The sequence below is a fragment of the Homo sapiens genome, chromosome X, assembly GCF_000001405.40.
Source record: "Homo sapiens chromosome X, GRCh38.p14 Primary Assembly".
In the NCBI taxonomy this organism is placed as follows: domain Eukaryota; kingdom Metazoa; phylum Chordata; class Mammalia; order Primates; family Hominidae; genus Homo; species Homo sapiens.
In genome coordinates this window covers 45041389-45061475 of record NC_000023.11, presented here as the reverse complement: position 1 = coordinate 45061475, position 20087 = coordinate 45041389, and the positions used below count along the sequence as shown (strand labels likewise).

Sequence of the window (20087 nt, the reverse complement as noted above, 5' to 3'; positions counted from 1 at the left end):
TGTTTGCTACCTCTACTCCTTTTTAATAAACAATTTGTCAAAAACATCTTACATACCTGTAATTTCTGTGGTGTCAAACACCATGAATGAGCTTGTTGCTGTACTGGAGGATGTGACACAGCATGTCCACCACTCCAATTGTCAGAAGTATTCTGAGGAAAATCGATTTAAAAAAAAAATTAAAGAATATTTGGTTAAATCCACAGTTAATAATAATGGTTAGAGGAGGCCAAATGACTATGAATTGGAATATTTACATGTTAAAAAGATGTTATAACATTAAATTCTTTAAAAAATAATTTTACATGCATATTAAACTTAGAAATCATACATTTAAAAATTACTGACTATTTAATAAGCCACCCAAAAAGGCCCACCCTCAAACTATGGCCCAAACGGCTAGCCTAAACACCACACTGTCCACTAGATCCAACATTAAATTTATTTCAATGTCAGTAAAAAGTGATGATGAAAAGTGTGCTGGGATCTTAACGGCAGGGAGATGAATAAAATGATTTGATGAATGCAAATTTATCCCTACTTTCTATATTTAATATGATACTAAGGGTTTGGGATGGAAAAACTCAAACCTTTCACTCTTTGATGTCCACAAATTTAAAATAAAGGACAGGAAATGTTCAAACTGCACAATTTCAGGGCAGCTGAAACTTCTTTTTTGACTGGGATTTTCTATTTCTCTAAAACATATACCTTTGTTGGACTAGATGTTCTTTTCCTCTTGGCAGGACTGGACAGGTCATCTACTTGGCTAGAAGGAATCATGTGTAGTGGCAAGGATTGCTGTGAAATTGGTGTTTGACTGAGGCCTAATACAGGTTCAGTATTTGGATGATGAGGTTTACATGCCTAAGAATCACAGAAGGAAGACAAAAATAGGGTTCTATATATTCTTAATTCATTCCTTCAAATTATAAAACTTTACAAGCTGCATACTTTTCAAAGCTATGTGGACATCGCTGATTGCAATGATTGAAAATCAAAATTAAATGATTCATCAATGGAATAATGTGTACCTTCCTTTGAAAAACTTGCCTTAAAAATTAAACAAACCACTGTAGCATTATTTTAAGAAATCTCCTTCAAAATCATGAAAATGCACAAAGGTTCTAAGTTGGTACCCCAAAATCTCTTCCCATATTAGAGGGAATTTTATTTTGATCTAGATTCCCTTTGCAATTAAATCAAAAGGCTTTTCATTACTAAAAGCCTCCTGTGCTTAGTAAATTAAGCTTGACCACTAGAGAATTGAAAAGAACCCTTAAAGCTGGGCACCTGCAGAACATAACCCAACTTCTCACCTGCTGTGCTGTGTTCATGGCACCCTGCCTGGAGGTAAGCTCTGCGGGAATTGGTAGGCTCCACGCCTCCTCAATACTAGGAAGTAATTTAGTTTTATTCTGTAGACTACCTTGTGGAAGGTTACACAACTGAGCCTAGGAAAAATTATGTAAAAAGCAAATTTAACACAAGCCTACTTGAGTAAGAGCAAGTCCACTAAATCTTCCTAAATGCTATAGCTAATTGTTTTTAAAAGAAAATAGATTCTAAATTTGGGGCTTTAGAAGACACTAAGTATAAACAGGGTAACCGGAATATAAACCTTTGTGAGAATCAAAACAAAGCTGAGCTCTGTTTTCAGAGTTCTCATAGCTGTCTTCTCAAGAAACTCCAAGCAAGAGTGAAAGACTGTTTGTGTTTTCTATAAAATGCTATGACAACTTAAAAATGTAGACAGTACATAGAAAAAAATTATGTAAATTAATATGCATCAACAGAGTAAATGTGCAAAAGAGCATCTTTAAAAATACTGCATATCTTACTTAAAATGAAAAGTAAAATAATATTACAAGCTATGGTATGTTTACAAAATATGGAAACAGATTATAGACATCAAAACACAACTAGACAAACTTTCCAGCCACCCTCCTTCTGCCTGAGTGTTCTGGGGAAATATGTGGCTTTAAAAAACTGCCATTTAAAAATTTTACCTGTAAATACTTAATTCGTGCTGCAAGTGCAGAGGTATTACTACAACTTTTGCTTCTAGTTGCATTTAAGTAGCATTTAATGGCATCCTGAGGCTGGTTGCAGGATTCATAGAGAGTGCCTAGGTCCATCCAGGCTGCAGCATGGCCATGGTCCAATTGTACAGCACAAATATAGGCCTGTAAAGCATCCATGGGCTGATTTTGCTGCTGATATAGCACACTGGAAAGAGAAATTAAGAAAAAATAAGTCAACTCAGAAGAACTGCTTGGTTTTATAATGATTTAAACTATGAAGTACTATATGTGATGCAACCATCTTTGTATATCAATTAAATTACTACTATTTTTATACAAAGGCTTACCCTATTGAACACCATGTATCTGCACTTGCTTCTGATTTATCAATAGACTGCCTGTAAGATATAAAGGCATCCTGAACTTTCCCAATACTTGAATAGCACCTGAGAAGGGAAGGGAAAAAAAAAAAAAATCAAGAGAATTCCATTAATACTGAAACAAATTAATCGGCTGAAAGGATGGACTATATATCACAGCAAATTTTTTTAAAACCCTAATAAGTTAATATATTTATGTGTATGTATGTATATACTTGTTAACTATAATGAATATTATAATTTGCCCTCCAACAAACCATATTATAGTCTGTCTTATAGGTGCTAAAAAGCATGCTGCATTAATGAACTCTATTAAAATGATTAGGGGACATATCACTTCAATATTATAATACTGAGAGCTGCATGCACATGTGCACACACACACACACGGCACTCTTCCACTCTTCTTATACAGCTTGACCTCTAGTTTCCTATATGGTCAAAATACAGAGTTAAAAACAAAAACACTATATACGTTGGTAAGATTTGCTGTATCAGATTTCAATTTTCCTTTCCCAAGTAACAACACTGAGGGCAATAATTCTTTAATTCATAAAAAAAATGCACATGTAAGACATAGTTAATCTCAAACTAAGTATCAAAAATAGTATAAAGTAAAAAGTAAAAATAATATAAAGTATAATATTTTATGACTAGTAAAGTTAGCAAGGTAAGATTAACGATTCAAGGACTGTAATTTTCTTAATGTGAATATACACGATGGACATGATGGATACACAGATAACAGTTGAAATTATAAATACTGAAATTATCTTCTTATTCTTGGCACTAAAGGAAAAAGAAAAAAAACAAAAACCCAGTCCCTATTTTCATGAAGCTTACAATTTAGTTGAGGACTGAAGATACATTAAAAATGTCATGATGTCATATCAAATGGCCAGTATAGACAATAATTGGCCTGAGAATTTAGGATAAGAAGAGACCATCATATTCTGCAAGATTTAGGAAAGGCAAAAAAAAAAAGGGGGGGGGGGGAGAGTAAGAGTAAGGGATTTGAATATGTAAAGATGCATATTATTTAGTGATTCCTAATTGCCAGCCAGTATATGGCACGTTTGCCAAGCAAACAAATTGGAAAGACAACACACACATATACATACATAAAGTTTTTCCAATAAATGAATTAATATTTATGCTGTAATTCTCTTATTTTGGATATTATTGGCTGACAGTAAATTGCAAAAAAAGTTAATGTTTTTACTTGCCCAAACACCATATTTCTATCCTCATAATTATTCTTTGAAATTTTACTGATTTATGTAACCTAAAATTCTAGGAACCACTGATTCGGGCAGAGAAGATGAGAAAAGGCGTTTTAAATGGGTTTGAACAGCATGAGCAAAACCTAATGTATATACAAGAAAGCACAGACACAAAACAGTAGAGAATTTTAAATCCAGCCAAAGATTACCCTAAAGTTTGCTTTTCTAACAAGCAGAATAGCACACTGAAAGCACTTTATAGGAATATTAATTTTCTAACAATATGTAGGGCAGACTGAAAGGAAAATAGTTATGGACAGTGAAAAAAGAGGGTGGCTACATTCACTGGTTTAGAACAGGCCAAAATTGGAGTGAAAGTACTGGAAGCGGCAAGAAAAAAAAGATAAGAGAAACAAGAAACCAAAAGATTGATAAAGGCTTTGTGATTAATTGATTAGATGTTCACAGGGTGGGGGCTGTAACTTAGTATTTAACCTTGATAAAAAGAAAATGGTGATCTTTTGGCAAAAGTAAAAGGAGAAAAGAGCTGGTCTGGGGAAGAATATGGTGAACATGGTTTGAAATATGCTGACTTTGACATGATGTGAGGACATTAAAATGGGAAATGTTAAGTAAAGAATAGGAGATGTTGTCCTGGTGTTTAAGATACCTTTAAATGTTGAAATCTAGATTTGGAATTCATCCATATGGAAGAGAGGCTGTAAAAACACAGGACATCTAAAGGGAGAAGTAAAAGCCTAAGGAATCACTAATCCTGTGGTTTGAAAGATGTAAGAAATGTCCGTGATTGAGACAGAGAAGGCAGTTTCAGAGAGCATCTACAAACTGTTTTATGAAGGAAAAATTCATAAGAAGAGATCAGCTACAATGCCAAACAGAAACAGACACCAGCGTGAAAGGGAATGCTTAACAGATAGTAGAAAACATGCTCTTCTGTAGTTGTTGTGAAATCAAAGCCATTTCAGATTTATAGACAAATTTGCCTAACTGCTGGGAGAAATAAGCAGTTCTTCCCAAAACCAATGTTTTAACATTCCATTCCTACAAAGTCAAAGTAGGAAACCAATGTGCCCAGATACAGATGTCCCACTCCAACCATCAACCACTTTTCCTCTAATGAAAGTAGGTTCCTCTGAGACAGTCTCATGTAACTAAAAAAGTCCTGGGTGAATCTAGGGTCTAATCCCTGCTCTCATACTAATTATCTGTGATTATGAACCCACTTTCTAAATCTTTGAAGTGACAGGATTTACAAGGTTAACTAGATGACCTCCCTGGTCCCTCCCAGTTGTAATATTCTATAGTTCTGTGATAACACAGTCAATGATTGGTGCTAGCAAAACAGAATATCACATTACAATTTTACTTTGAAATACAAGTGCCAAATGACAAGCAAAGTCCATCTTCAACACAGACCTGAATGCAGAGGTTAATAGAAATCCTAACAAATATGAGGGTCATCAAACCCCAAAATTTCTTACTGACAATTGAGGTCTTCATTTGGAGCTTTAAAAACTTCTAAAACATAATTCATTCATAAAATGTTTCTTACAAGAAACAGATTAGAAGCAACACATTAGAAGGCAGTGAAAGAGAATATGAAAAGTCTAAAAGATTTAGAATTTTATTATTACAGATGGAAAATAATATGTCTAAAATGATAACCTTGAACCCGAAACCAAGTTAAATTGTGATAAGTATCCTTTATTTAGTCAGGAAAAGTATATTGTATATTTGGAAAAATTTACCCAAAAAGATTAAATTAAAAGCATCATAATGTTTTACAATGTAAAATTAGTTAACTGGAAAAAAATGATAAAATACTGCTCACTGAAATACTGATGATTAAATACTGCTCATCGAAGCTGAAAATTACAGCATGACTATGATAGTTAATTCTACACATGGTTCATTATAATTTTACGTAACTAGAATTTAAATTTAAAAACCTATACTAAAAAGACATCTACACACTACTGTATTAAACTATCTTAGGTCAGAAGGAACATACTTTCTAGTATACATTCGTTTTAATCTATGCTAAAAGAAATTTTCATATATAAACCTGAAAACAAGAGACAGGCACCTACTGTTTCCCAGTTCCAGACCTCCTTTACAGTCACTATATAAAGCCTCACACTCCACAACACTAACAGTAATAGTGCTAGCTCCAAAAGCAAATGGAGTTTAGTTAGTTCATGTCATCCATTTATCGAATAGCCACTTTGTCAGGCAAAAAGATACAAAAATAATAAAATCCAGTTTCTGCTACTGTAGAAGAGAAACACAAAAGTTTGGACCCTCCAGCTTTATTTAGAAGCAATCCAAATTAGGCTCTTTTATAAGCCTGGGGAGGGATTAGGAAATCCTCACCAAAAATTAGATACCTTTTCAGTCAACTCTTATTGTATGTTAATAATGAGTTAATCAAATGTTTTTAAAAATTTTTTTCCTTAACCTTCTAAGCATACTATGAGTAATCAAATATTTTTAGGGAAGGAACCATATTAATATTACTTTAATTAAAGTAATATTACATTAATTAAAATTACATTAATTAAAATTAATGTCTCATACAAACATACTTTCCTTAAAGGAAAAATGAAGCCATATAATTAAAATTTAATGTGATTATATGGCAAATTTACTTACAATCAAGTATTCTATGTAAACAATAATAGAACAAAACTTAAAATTAAAACAGGATAATTTCTAAAGAAGTCATAAAATTGGAACCTTTAGAGCAGGAAGATACGTAACAGATCATCTAACTCAGGGTTTCTCAACTACAGCATAATTGACATTTGGAGCCAGCCAGTTCTTTGCTATAGAGGACTGTCCTGCGCATTGTAGGATGTTTAGCAGCATCCCTAGTCTCTACCCACTATATGAAAGTAGCACACTTTACAGCTGTGATGAAAGAAATAAATGTCTCTAAACATTGTGAATTGTCCTTGGCCGGGGCAAGAGTGGCAAAATAGCCTGCCCCTGAGGACCACTGATCTAATACAATTCTCTAAATACGTTAAACAAAATTTGAGGCTTTAAAAGGTTTAACTAAACCATCCACAATTCCACAAACAGTAGCTGAATCAGGACTTGAATCTAAGTGTCCTGGCTCCTAGTACATTGATCTTTTCACCATATCATGAAAGCGAAAAGTGATTAGGAATCAAAATACAACCTGATGATAGTCTAAAACTATAATCTATCAGATACTTATGCATGAGGTATAGTTCAGATCATCACTAAGCATAATTCAGACATTCAATGGATAAATAGTATGGAGAAATGGTTACAGACTTGCAGAAAATGATTTTTGTTACATGACACTTCTCCATTCCAACAAATCTAATAATGTATTCACTTTCTCACTGTAAGATTTCAAGTATAACTGTGATTTGAGATTTACTATTATGTCAATTCTAAGGTAAATATCATGAATCAAAATTATAAATTATAAAGGTTCCATTGACTACCAGTAGTCATCAGGCAGATGAGAAATTAATCCTCTGTTTTATAAAACAGACATATAGAAAAAAATACTGGAAGTCTGAAGGAAAGGCATTTAAATACTTCATTAAAAGTTACTATTGGATAAGACTTTTTTAAAACTAGCAGTAACTCAAATCAAATAAAAATCCAATAACCAAAATAAGAAACGTCCTGCTAGACCAGATTATGCTATAAAAAAACCACCATATTTGGAAACTTTATCTTGTTGTTTAACTTTCAGGAATCTTGGTTAATAATGTATTTAGAAGAGAAAATACACTGATCAGGTTACATATGTAAACTAACATTTTAAATTGTAATTCAAATCTCTTAGCTGGAATAGACAAAATCAAACATAAATGTCTGGTAAGTCTCACCTTCCGAGGAAATACCAGGACTGGCCAGAATTAGGATCTGCTTCCAAGGACTTTTGGAGATACTGAATAGCATAGCTTTCCTTGGTGGCTTTATCTCCCAGGAGATCTACAGTGTGATGCATCCAACCTACAGTAAATGATTTAAAAAAATTTACATAAATGACTTAATTGTTCTTCTATGTTTAAGAATACGAAGCAGAAAACAAACCAAAAAAGTACTCTTTTCTGTCAATTTATTAATTTAGTTTGGAGTACATATTTCCAAAATTTAGAACTGCCAATTCTGGCCATTAAGAAAGTCAGTTTCTCACAGTAAGGTACTGTAAAAGCTACAAAGGGCTTTCATTCAAGAGAAATTAAAACAATTTTTAGTACTGATATAACAGATTATAAATCAGACTTTTCTAATTTTGATATCTGAAAAAATTCCAAGTTACGAAACAAAAAATATAAAGATGTTACGTCTTATTTACTATTCCATGTAAAACTAAATTAATGTGTGTTTTTTGTTTTTTGTTTTTTCCTGAGACAGAGTCTCGCTCTTTTGCCAGGCTGGAGTACAGTGGCATGATCTCAGCTCACTGCAACCTCCGCCTCCCAGATTCAAGCAATTCTCCTGCCTCAGCCTCCTGAGTAGCTGGGACTACAGGCGCGCACCACCACACCCAGCTAATTTTTGTATTTTTAGTAGAGACAGGGTTTCACCATGTTGGCCCAGATGGTCTTGATCTTCTGATCATGTGATTCACCCACCACGACCTCCCAAAGTGCTGGGATTACAGGCGTGAGCCACCACACCGAGCCAATTAAGAATCTCCAAGATATCCCATTAACAAAATGTTTATTTCCAAGGAATAAATATAAGGCTATAGAATCAACGATAATTCAGATTAAAAAATATACACACAATCCTACCTCACTGGCCCTGACTACATATATTCGCACCCTATATAAAACTATAGGCCAGGCACAGTGGCTCACACCTGTAATCCTAGAATTTGGGGAGGCTGAGGCAGAAGGATCGCTTGATGCCAGGAGTTTGAGACCACCCTGGGCAACACAGAGAGAGACCTTGTCTCTACAAAAGAAATTTTTTAAATCAGCCAGGCGTGGTGGCATGCGCCTGCAGCCCTAGCTACTCGGGGGGCTGAGGTGGGATCACCTGACCCGAGGAGTTTGAGGCTGCAGTTATGATCACGACACTGTATTCCAGCCTAGGGGACAGAGCGAGACTCTGTCTAAAATAAATAAGCAAACAAACTATAAAGTATTTGATGACTGAAAAAACAAACATTGCCTTCATAATAAAGCCTTAGTTTTGTTTATAATTTTTTCCATTAGGATTTTACTCAAGTTGTCTATACTTTTAAGAGTTATAAAAGTGTCAAAATATTTGTTTTTATTCAGTGATTTATAATTATTAAATTTGTATGTATATTATCTAAAGATAATGATAAAATCTAAGCTTAAGTGACTTTAAAACTATGTAAAAATAGTTACATTATGAAAACATTCATACTGCTACAATGCTGGCTAAAAATTAAGAATAAATGATTTGCCCAGACCAAAAACAAAACTGAAAAAACAACCCAAATATCAAATACAAACAAGAAACATGACTCAATAATTAAGCAACAAAATTAAAGGCTGGGGAGTTCTTTCACTATCTTTTTGGTGATAGTTACACATGACATCCAAATGAATAGATTCCCTCATGTCCCACATTAGAATAGAACTGCATGCTCACAGTGTTAGACGTTCTACAGTTTTTAGATAAATTGTTTTGTAGTCATTATAACTAATAAAGCTATGAAAGCAAGCTCCCCAACCATTAAGTGACATTAGGTAAATCACAACTTCATTAAGTGCTTAAGCATATATCTGGCACAAACGAAGTATTCAATCCTCCTTGGGTTAAATACTAGGGAGTAATTTTGATAATTTAAAAGGACCAGCTGTACTAAAGAATTACACTGAGACAGACTGTGGGAAGGACAATGCTGGGCAGAGGATACAAATATGCTGGGTTCAGAATAATTTTATCAACTCTGAGCAAAGGAATAGAATATATGAGCCACATATTTGCCACACTCGACATGGAAAAAACATAAAGAGAAGCACTTATAATACACTAAATGTATACTATTACATACCTAACTGTTGTAAGACAGTTGCTTTTACTTGTGCAGAAAGATTCTCTGTCTGCAAAAGTTGTTCATAAGCTTCTTTTGCAGAATGATATTTCCTCTAAAGAACAGAAAAAGAGATTTGGAGAAAAATTAACATAATCTTTAAGGAACTACTTCATATATTAAGAATTATACAATACTGATGTTTTAGCATATTTTTTAAAACTAAAAGAAAAAAGTGCTGATTCCATTATTGAATGTTTCTTTAACATCAGACAGTTGAGTAATAAGCCTTGTTCCAGAGTACCTAACACCAGTAAAACTGACATTCACTATAACGAAGTATCATTAAAGTATGACTTTTAAGAATTTTCCAAATGCCAATATCATCTGAAATTTAATAACATAAGTGGTCTCAATTTTATTTAATAACATTAGACGTATTCTACCTCCAAGTGCATATCTGTCTGCCTAGAAACACTGAGCTCCCAAGCAACTCAATAAATAGAGCACATGTCAGGCTGGGTGTGGTGGCTCACACCTGTAATCCCAACTCTTTGGGAGGCCGAGGCAGGCAAATCACCAGGTCAAGAGTTCGAGACCAGCCTGGCCAACATAGTGAAACCACGTCTCTACTAAAAATACAAAAATTAGCCAGGCATGGTGGCGCGCACATGTAGTCCCAGCTACTCGGGAGGCTGAGGCAGGAGAATCGCTTGAAACCGGGAGGCGGAGGTTGCGGTGAGCCGAGATTGCACCACTGCACTCCAGCCTGGGCAACAGAGCAACACTCTGTCTCTAAATAAATAAATAAAGCACATGTCAAAAATGCTGTAGACAAAATCTAAATAAGTACAAAAGTAGTTAAAAATCTAAATTTTAAAGATACAGTTTCTAGTATATATAAAATATCTTATAAAAATATTTATAATACATATGATTTTAAAGACATCAAAACTCTGTTACAGCCTAACAATGTCTGTAAGACTTAGGATTTCACAGGCAAATGTCTAAATGAAACCATTTAGCCACAGTTCTCAAGAGTACTAATATAACTGAAACTCTTTATTGCTATGGTTACAAACCTTAAGACAACTCCCCCAAAACAAAAGGAAAAAACTAACAAAAGAAAGGCTCATAAATATTACCTGTAAAACATACTTGGCAGAACAATGGATTGAAGTGGCTTTTATTCATATCATTACCAGTATATAACTGCCTGAGCAAACAAATATTTTCAAAAAAAAGTAGGTAGAAATACAAAACTAGGCTGTATGAACCTCAGGCAATTCACTTAAACTAGGATTCAACATCAATAAAAAACTGATGCAATAAAACAAGAGCTAATATCCAATCTTGCTACCTACAGGGTTGTCCTAATGATGGAAACAATTAAGGAGCTACACACACACACACCGCTAACATAAGGAAGATTTGAAAGAACTGTCTATTGAGATGATCAGTTTTTTCGTTTGTTTGTTTTTTTGAGACGGAGTGTCGCCCTTGTTGCCCAGGCTGGAGTGCAATGGCACGATCTCAGTTCACTGCAACCTCCGCCTCCCGGGTTCAAGTGAATTCTCCTGCCTCAGCCTCCCGAGTAGCTGGGATTATAGGCATGTGCCACCACGCCCGCCTACTTTTGTATTTTTAGTAGAAATGGGGTTTCTCCATGTTGGTCAGGCTGGTCTCGAATTCCCAACCTCAGGTGATCCGCCCGCCTTGGCTTCCCAAAGTGTTGGGATTACAGGCGTGAGCCACCGCGTCCAGCGATCCAGAGTTATTAAATCAACTTTTACTTATCAGCTAAACTAGTTCCCCCAAAACACTCATCTGGTCTAAAAAAAGTTAATTAGATAGTTAGGCCAAGGATAAGGGCCAAGTTATTCAATTCCTTCAATTGATAAATATTTGTTAAACACCTAATACATAACAGGAACTGCTAAGACTACACAGTAGTGAAAAATATATACAAGAAAAACAAATTAAGCATATTGTGCTGTGTATGATAACATTATAATACTTCTCAGAGGAAGAACGAGCGCATATTAAGTTTAGAGTACTAGCAGGCTGGACAGAAAATGCAAAGACTACTTCACAAAGACCTCCCTAATCCATTTAAAGACTACTGACTGTATCCTAAAACAATGGAGAACCACTGAATGATTTCAAGTAATGTAATCAGATTTAAATTTTAGGAAAACCACCTTCATGAATTATCTTAACAAATGTTAAAATATACCTCCCAACACTGTAATAAAAACAATGATCTACTTGAAAAAATGGTAGCATCATATTTGGAAATATGAAATTAGATTTCTACCTCATACCATATACAACAAAACCAGCAACTGCATTAAAGACCTGAATATGAAAGGTAAAAGTATAAAGTTAAGAGAAGAAAATGTAGAAGAATGTTTCCTTGAGATGGGAGAGAATTTATTGGACATGACCAAAAAAACACAAATCATAAGGAAGAGTAAAGATCTGACTCAAAAAGCATAGGCAGAGAAACAGGCAATGGACATAAGTAATCCAACACATAAAAGGTGAAAAACAATGTGAGTAACTATACTCCTCTAGAAATCAGAACATACAAGTTTAAATGACACAACAGCTTCTACCTTTAAGACTGGCAAACATAAATTTGAGTAATTCCAAGTATTGTAGAGATGTGAGTAAAGGAGAACACTCACGTCCTGGTGGAAGGGGATTTACTCAAAAAATTAGGAATACAAATATGCTACAATCTAGCAATCTTACTCTTGGAATATGTATGCCAAGGAAACCTTTCCACAGGTAATGTTCTGAACAGTACTGCTTGTAGTATGGAGAAGTTGGGGGGCAACCTAAGTGTCTGTCACTAGACAAGTAGAAGCAAAATACAATGGATGCTTATAGTAGTACATTAATTAGCAATTATAAACGATGTGTAAAAAAGTAACTTGAGTTTATCTTTAATAGTGTTGAGTAGAAGTTTTGCCTCTGACAATATTTGGAGTGACATTCCACACACAGCTTCACATTCTGGATAAAATATAAAAGTCAACTACCAGATGGCACTGGAGAGAGACCAAAATCAGGCAAAACCAAAGGAAAAGTTCACACTTAAAGGAAGGAAACGGCACTAGATGAGTAACTCCCTTTTTCTTGGATTTTCACCTGAAGGCAGGCTTCAACTGGTACTTTGGCTGGCTAGAACTCAAATAGAAATGGCAGTCTTACTAGGCTGAAGAATCATAGGACAGCTTTTGAGGCTACCATAAAGAGTTGGAAGTGAGGGGAGAAATCCCAGTCAGGAGACAGAGAGTGGAAACACCAAATTCCACACATAAACTCTGCCCAAAGCTCTGACTGCCGAATTATGCATGAACAGAACAGATAATGAGCAGCCTAAAAGAACTAGAGAGAGATTTCAGTTGCTGCCATTACAAGGGTGACAAAGTTTAGAGTGTGAGTTAACTGGCTAATAAAGCAAAAATATATCAATCTTCAGAAAAATATAGTCAATCTCCACAATGTATTACTCATGATATGCAGGATAAAAATTATTAAACTTATGAAGATCAGGAAAATTTCACCTATATTCAAAAGAAAAGAAAATTAATGAAAACCAGCTGTGAAATTACTCAGATGTTGAAATTTGTAGTTTTTTTTTTTTTTTTTTTTTGAGACGCACTTTCACTGTGTCGCCCAGGCTGGAGTGCAGTGGCACAATCTTGGCTCACCGCAACCTCTGCCTCCTGAGTTCAAGCGATTCTCCTGCCTCAGTCTCCCGAACAGCTAGGATTACAGGCACGCCATCACACTTGGCTAATCTTTTGTATTTTTAGTAGAGATGGGGGTCTCGCCATTTTGGCCAGGCTGGTCTTGAACTCCTGACCTTAGGTGATCTGCCCACCTTGGTCTCTCACAAGTGCTGGGATTACAGGCATGAGCTACTGCGCCTAGCCCTGTAGATAATTTTAAAGCAGATATTCAGGCTGAGTGTGATGGCACGCGCCTGTAGTCTCAGCTACTTGGAAGGCTGAGGCACGAGAATCGCTTGAACCTGGGAGGCAGGGGTTGTGGTGAGCCAAAATTATGCCATTGCACTCCAGCCTGGGCAAGAGAGCCAGATCCTGTCAAAAAAAAAAAAAAAAAAAAAAAAAAAAAGAAAAAAAAAGCAAGCAGATATTTGAAGAATGTGGACAAAAGAAAAACATAATCCTAATGAATTAATGTATAAAAAATCATACTCCAGAAAGAGAAACAAAAGGAAATTCCAGAATTGAAAAAATGTTAATCTGAAATTTAAAAAAGAAAATCACTATATGGATTGAATAGCAGATTGGAAAGTATATTTAAAAAAAAAAAGAAATCAATGCATTTGAAAACAAGTCACTAGAAAGCATACAGATTGAAGCAGAAACACACACATACAAACACACAAAAGTTAAAAGTTAAAAAAAAAAAAAGAAAGCATCTAAGATGTTTGAGGCAATAGCATATAGTCTACCATACATGTAATTGGAGTCCGAGAAGAAGAGAAAAACGGTGGAGCAGAAAAAATATTTGACAAATCAATGGCTGAGAATTTTCCAAAACTGATAAAAAAAAAATCAAACCCCAGACTTAAAATACTATTAGTATAATTATAAAGAAAAAAAATATCTGAGCACATTGAAGTCAAATTTTTGAAAACCAAATATAAAGAGAAAAACCTTTTAAAAGCAACCAGAGAAAAACAATACAATACAAAGAATACAACAGGAATGACAGCTAACTTTATCCAACCATATCAATAATCAAATTAAGTATAAATGAACTAGACACTCCAAACCACCACCACCACCACCACCACCACCATCATCACCACCAATAAAAGAGACTGCCAGAATAGAGCTACAAAAGTAAGAGCCAAGAACATTATACTTATGGGATGGACATTACAGGCCCCAAGAATTTAAGAACAATACCTTTATGATATACTCAGCTTCTACATGTACTTGGGTCTATTCCTGGGCTTTCTAGGATATTTCACTAATTTGTCTATTCACATGCCAGTACCACATTTTTAATTATACAAGTTTTATTGGGTTAGTATATCCTACACAATCCTCCCACCCGTTTTATCATGTTTTACCATATCAACTTAGCTAACTCCTAACAAAAGTTTGTTGGTATTTTTGTATTACATTTCTGTTACACTAAGGAGAATCAACATCTTTATACTGCTGAGTCACAGTATCTCTCTAAAGTTTATTCCTAAGTATTTAATATACTTTGCTGAACACTCTAAATAGAATTTTTTCCTGTTATGTTCTGACTATTGTTGTTGAAGCTTATTAATTCTGTATGTTAATTTGTGCCTGTAACTGACTTCTCTCTCTTATCTAACTACACTGGCTAATACCTATAGTATAATACCAAGGACTAATGGAAATAGTAGGCATCTTCACCTTGCTCCTGATTCTAGTGAAAAGGTCTCTAGAATTTGGCCTTAAGTAAAATTCTGACTTTGAAACTAAAGCATATGCATTTTATCACGATAAGAAAGTAACCTGCAATTCCTATGTATAAGAGTGTTTTTATTAGAAATGGGTATTGAATTTAAAGATTTTTTCAGAATCTATGGTGATAATAATTTGACTTTACCTTTAGCTCTATTATTACAATATTAATAGATTTCCGAAGATTCAGTCAACCTTGCATTCCTGAAATGAATAACACTTGGTCATAGTATATTGCTGTGTTTAATGAGATAAGGTATTCTGTTTGTTAATATTTTATTAGCATTTTTACACCAATATTCATCATGATATCAGTCTGTATATTGACTCTCTTATTATACTGTCTTTTATTAGGTTCGGATGTAATACTTGCTTCAAAACAAAAAGGAAAAACAGTATGACTGTTTCTCAAAAAATTAAACATAGAATTACCATATGATCCAGCAATTCCACTTCTGGATATATTGCAAAAAGAACTGAAAGCAGGAACTCTAACAACTTATATACACATCCATGGTCAAGCAGCACTATTCACAACAGACAAAAACTGGAAGCAAACCAAGTGTCCATCAACAGATGAAATGGATAAACAAAATGTGGTGTATCCATACAATGGAATATTATTCGGTCTTAAAAAGGAATGGAATTCTGACACATGCTAAACCATATAGACATTATGCTAAGTGAAATAAGTCAGATGCAAAAGCACAAATATTGTATGATTTCACTTTTTTTTTTTTTTTTTTTTTCTTGAGACAGAGTCTTGCTCTGTCACCCAGGCTGGAGTACAGTGGTGGGATCTTGGCTCACTGCAACCTCCACCTCCTGGATTCAAGCGATTCTCCTGCCTCAGTCTCCCGAGTAGCTGGGACTACAGGCACCTGCCACCATGCCTGGCTGATTTTTGTATTTTTAGTAAAAGCGGGGTTTCACCATGTTGGCCAGGCTGGTCTCGAACTCGTGACCTCAAATGATCCATCCCTCAGCCTCACAAAGTGTTGGGATTACAGGCATGAGCCACCACGCCTGGCAGATTCCACTTTTATGAGATACCTAGAGTGGTCAACTCACAGAGACAGAAAGTAGAATAGTGGCTGCTAGGAGCCCAGTGAAGGGAGTAATGGGGAATTATTACCTAATGGATACTTTGAGATGATGAAATAGTTTTAGTGATGAATGGTGGTGACAGATTCACAACAATACAAATTTACTTAATGTCAGTGAGTTGTACACTTAAAACTGGTCAAAATGGTAAAATCCTATGTATTCATGAAATAAACCCTACATATTTATCACAAACTTATGTATCAGCTGGAATTTTTTTCTTTATTTAGAGTTCTTGGATTCGTGTAAAATACTTATATTATAGATGTCTAATATAGATAAGTATTATAGCACTTATCTATATTATTTTGCTATAGTATAATAACATACACAAGTCTATAGTGTTTTGGTAATATATTAATGCTTGACAGAAAAGTGTTAAAAATGAAACAATTCTTATAAACAGTGTTATTCAAAATATTATTATTTGTAATTATTCCTCAAAGGGGAGTAGTTAAATTAGTTAACTGTACATCTATATGTAAAGGGATATGATGCAGCTCTACACGTACTGATACAGAATGATTTCCAAGATACAAGATTAAGTTAAAATTTAAAGCAAGGTCAGAAGAGAACATACATTATTGGCTATCATTTGAATAAAATTAAATACTAGAAATAAACATGCAAACATATGTGGACTTGCTTATATATACACTGAGTTTCTCTGGAAGGATTTAAAAACCACTGGTAACATTGATGGCTTTAGGGAGGGGAGTAGATGCCTGAGGAAGTGGAAGGAAGAGGATACTTCACTGTGTATTCTTTCAAAACTTTTCATTTTGGATTATCTATTCAAAAATAACTAACATTTCAGTAACAGAATGAAAAGGGAGAAATCCTCTATCTTGAAACCTTAAAGGCTATAAGAATCAAGATAGTGAACTGCTCAAATTATTTCACTAAATTCAAGAAAAAGAAAAGAAGCCCCGTTAATACTATTATTACTGTAGAAAAAATGAGCTGGAGGTCCCAGCTAATAAAACAGGGAAGGTAAATTAATTCATCAATATAAATGTTCAAGAATAATTGACAATATATTTGGAGATATGACATTATACAGTCATGTGTCACTTAACAATTTCATCGTTGTGCAAACATCAGAGTATACTTACACAAACCTAGATGGTATTGCCTACTACACATCTAAGCTATATGGTATAGCCTCTTGCTTCTGACTACAAACCTGTACAGCATGTTACTATACAGAATACTACAATTACAATACAATGGTAAATATCTAAACATAGAAAAGGTTCAGTTAAAACAAAAAACACACACCGAAAAAGTACAGTAAAAATATGCTATTATAATCCTATGGGACCACCATCATATATGTGATCCTTTGTTAATCAAAACATCATTGTGCGGCACATGTACAGAGAAGCAAAGTTATCTTTATTTATAGATGGTATGACAATATACATAGAAACCTATGAGAATCATTTTTTTTTTCTTTAAACAGTCTCACTCTGTCATCCAGGCTGGCGTGCAGTGGCGCCATCTTGGCTCACTGCAACCTCCGCCTCCCCGGGTTCAAGCGATTCTCCTGCCTCAGCCACCCAAGTAGCTGGGATTACAGACACATGCTACCACACTCAGCTAATTTTTTAATTTTTAGTAGAAACAGGGTTTCATCATGTTCCCCAGGCTAGTCTTGAACTCTGGGCTTCAAGTGATCCACCTGCCTCGGCCTCCCAAAGTGCTGGGATTACAGGTGTGAGTCACCACACCCGGCCAATCTACTAAAATATTTTTTAATCTACTAAAGTATTAACAGCTTTGTCTATAAGATCATAAAAGATAAAAATACAGGGTTAGGGGATGAGCTCTCATTAAAATTAAACAAACCCAAATGCCTATTATTAAATTCAACAAAAAAATTTTTTTAATCCTTTACTCATATCTCTACAAAAGACCTTTTTTTTCGTTTCCTTTTTGTTTGAGACGGGGTCTCGCTTTGTCACCCAGGCTGGAGCGCAGTGGCGAGATCTCAGATCCCTGCAACTTCCACCTCCCAGGCTCAAGAGATCCTTCCACCTCAGCCTCCCAAGCAGCTGGGACTACAGGCATGCACCACCATATCCCGCTAATTTTTGTATTTTTGGTAGAGATGGGGTTTCACCATGTTGCCCAGGCTGGTCTGGAACTCTTGAGCTCAAGTGATCCACCCACCTTGGCCTCCCAAAGTGCTGGGATTACAGGCATGAACCACTGCGCTCGGCCACGACCTTTTTGCCTTTCAAACATTATAAGCTCAATACCACAAAGCCATTGTACTTGCTAACATTTCTTTAACACCATTCTAGGTAAAGTGGTATTCCATAACTTTAGTTTTAATTATGATCTTAGTATTTAAACCTGTGAAGGTAATGTCGGGACAGGGCCCTCGGGGATTATGAAATGATCCTTCTTCATTTATTAGTGGGGAAGACTTCTTCCCATGTAGAGAAGTGGGGAAACTTCTTCCTATGTAGAGAAGTGGGGAAACTTCTTCCTATGTAGAGAAGTGGGGAAACTTCTTCCTATGTAGAGAAGTGGGGAAACTTCTTCCTATGTAGAGAAGTGGGGAAACTTCTTCCTATGTAGAGAAGTAGAGAAACTTCCCTTGAACTATTGTTTACCTAGCAGTAGCCATTAAATACATCTCACTTAAATTTCCTAAATCCATATTCATAAATAGGGTCCATTGGTAAAAATTGGTGGAACTATAAAAACTAACTTTTAATAGGTAGGTAAGCAGGCCATCTTGCTTCTCTTAATTTTTCACTTGAAAATGAAAATCCATATTATAATCACTGGTGTAGAGTTTTTTTTTAATCCTTTCATATACTTACAGTGTCACCTAATAATTATATACTGTTTGCCATGAGTTTATTCTGTTTTGTTTAATCTGAATCAGTATTAAAATTTATCAAATGACTCTCCCTCTCCCCTCTCCCCTCTCCCCTCTCCCCTCTCCCCTCTCCCCTCTCCCTCCACGGTCTCCTTCCACGGTCTCCCTCTGATGCCGAGCCGAAGCTGGACGGTACTGCTGCCATCTCGGCTCACTGCAACCTCCCTGCCTGATTCTCCTGCCTCAGCCTGCCGAGTGCCTGCGATTGCAGGCGCATGCCGCCACGCCTGACTGGTTTTCGTTTTTTTTTGGTGGAGAGGGGGTTTTGCTGTGTTGACCGGGCTGGTCTCCAGCTCCTAACCGCGAGTGATCCGCCAGCCTCGGCCTCCCGAGGTGCCGGGATTGCAGACGGAGTCTCGTTCACTCAGTGCTCAATGGTGCCCAGGCTGGAGTGCAGTGGCGTGATCTCGGCTCGCTACAACCTCCACCTCCCAGCCGCCTGCCTTGGCCCCCCAAAGTGCCGAGATTGCAGCCTCTGCCCAGCCGCCACCCCGTCTGGGAAGTGAGGAGCGTCTCTGCCTGGCCCCCCATCGTCTGGGATATGAGGAGCCTCTCTGCCTGGCTGCCCAGTCTGGAAAGTGAGGAGCGTCTCTGCCCGGCCGCCATCCCATCTAGGAAGCGAGGAGCGCCTCTTCCCCGCCGCCATCCCATCTAGGAAGTGAGGAGCGTCTCTGCCCGGCCGCCCATCGTCTGAGAGGTGGGGAGCACCTCTGCCCCGCCGCCCTGTCTGGGAGGTGAGGAGCGTCTCTGCCCAGCCGCCCCGTCTGAGAAGTGAGGAAACCCTCTGCCTGGCAACCGCCCTGTCTGAGAAGTGAGGAGCCCCTCCGTCCGGCAGCCACCCCGTCTGGGAAGTGAGGAGCGTCTCCGCCCGGCAGCCACCCCGTCCGGGAGGGAGGTGGGGGGGGGTCAGTCCCCGCCCGGCCAGCTGCCCCGTCCGGGAGGTGAGGGG

General features: G+C 36.4%; 1 protein-coding gene across 25 annotated transcripts in view, besides 1 other annotated feature; it reads right to left on the bottom strand.

The window, feature by feature from the left end:
* The window catches only part of KDM6A (lysine demethylase 6A), a 239592-nt gene that overhangs the window by 51304 nt on the left and 168201 nt on the right, over positions 1–20087 (bottom strand). For 8 of the 25 annotated variants that reach the window (XR_007068200.1, NM_001419809.1, NM_001291415.2 and 5 more), the window contains 7 exons: positions 9674–9767; positions 7521–7647; positions 2372–2470; positions 2010–2229; positions 1320–1454; positions 712–867; positions 57–152 (listed from right to left, as the gene is read on the bottom strand). Coding sequence is in view for 23 of the 25 variants with exons in the window: in NM_001419809.1 (NP_001406738.1) it covers positions 57–152; positions 712–867; positions 1320–1454; positions 2010–2229; positions 2372–2470; positions 7521–7647; positions 9674–9767 (927 nt within the window). In the remaining 2 variants the exon portion in view is untranslated. The remainder of the gene's footprint in view (positions 1–56; positions 153–711; positions 868–1319; positions 1455–2009; positions 2230–2371; positions 2471–7520; positions 7648–9673; positions 9768–20087) is intronic. The other 17 variants (NM_001419812.1, NM_021140.4, NM_001419814.1 and 14 more) reach the window with 3 other exon arrangements.
* Positions 19052–19796: an enhancer, noted in NCBI's record as "H3K27ac hESC enhancer chrX:44900925-44901669 (GRCh37/hg19 assembly coordinates)". NCBI's record gives its function as "activates a minimal SCP1, AML or CMV promoter by ChIP-STARR-seq in naive H9 embryonic stem cells {active_cell/tissue: H9 hESC(naive)}" and the evidence as "EXISTENCE:reporter gene assay evidence [ECO:0000049][PMID:30033119]".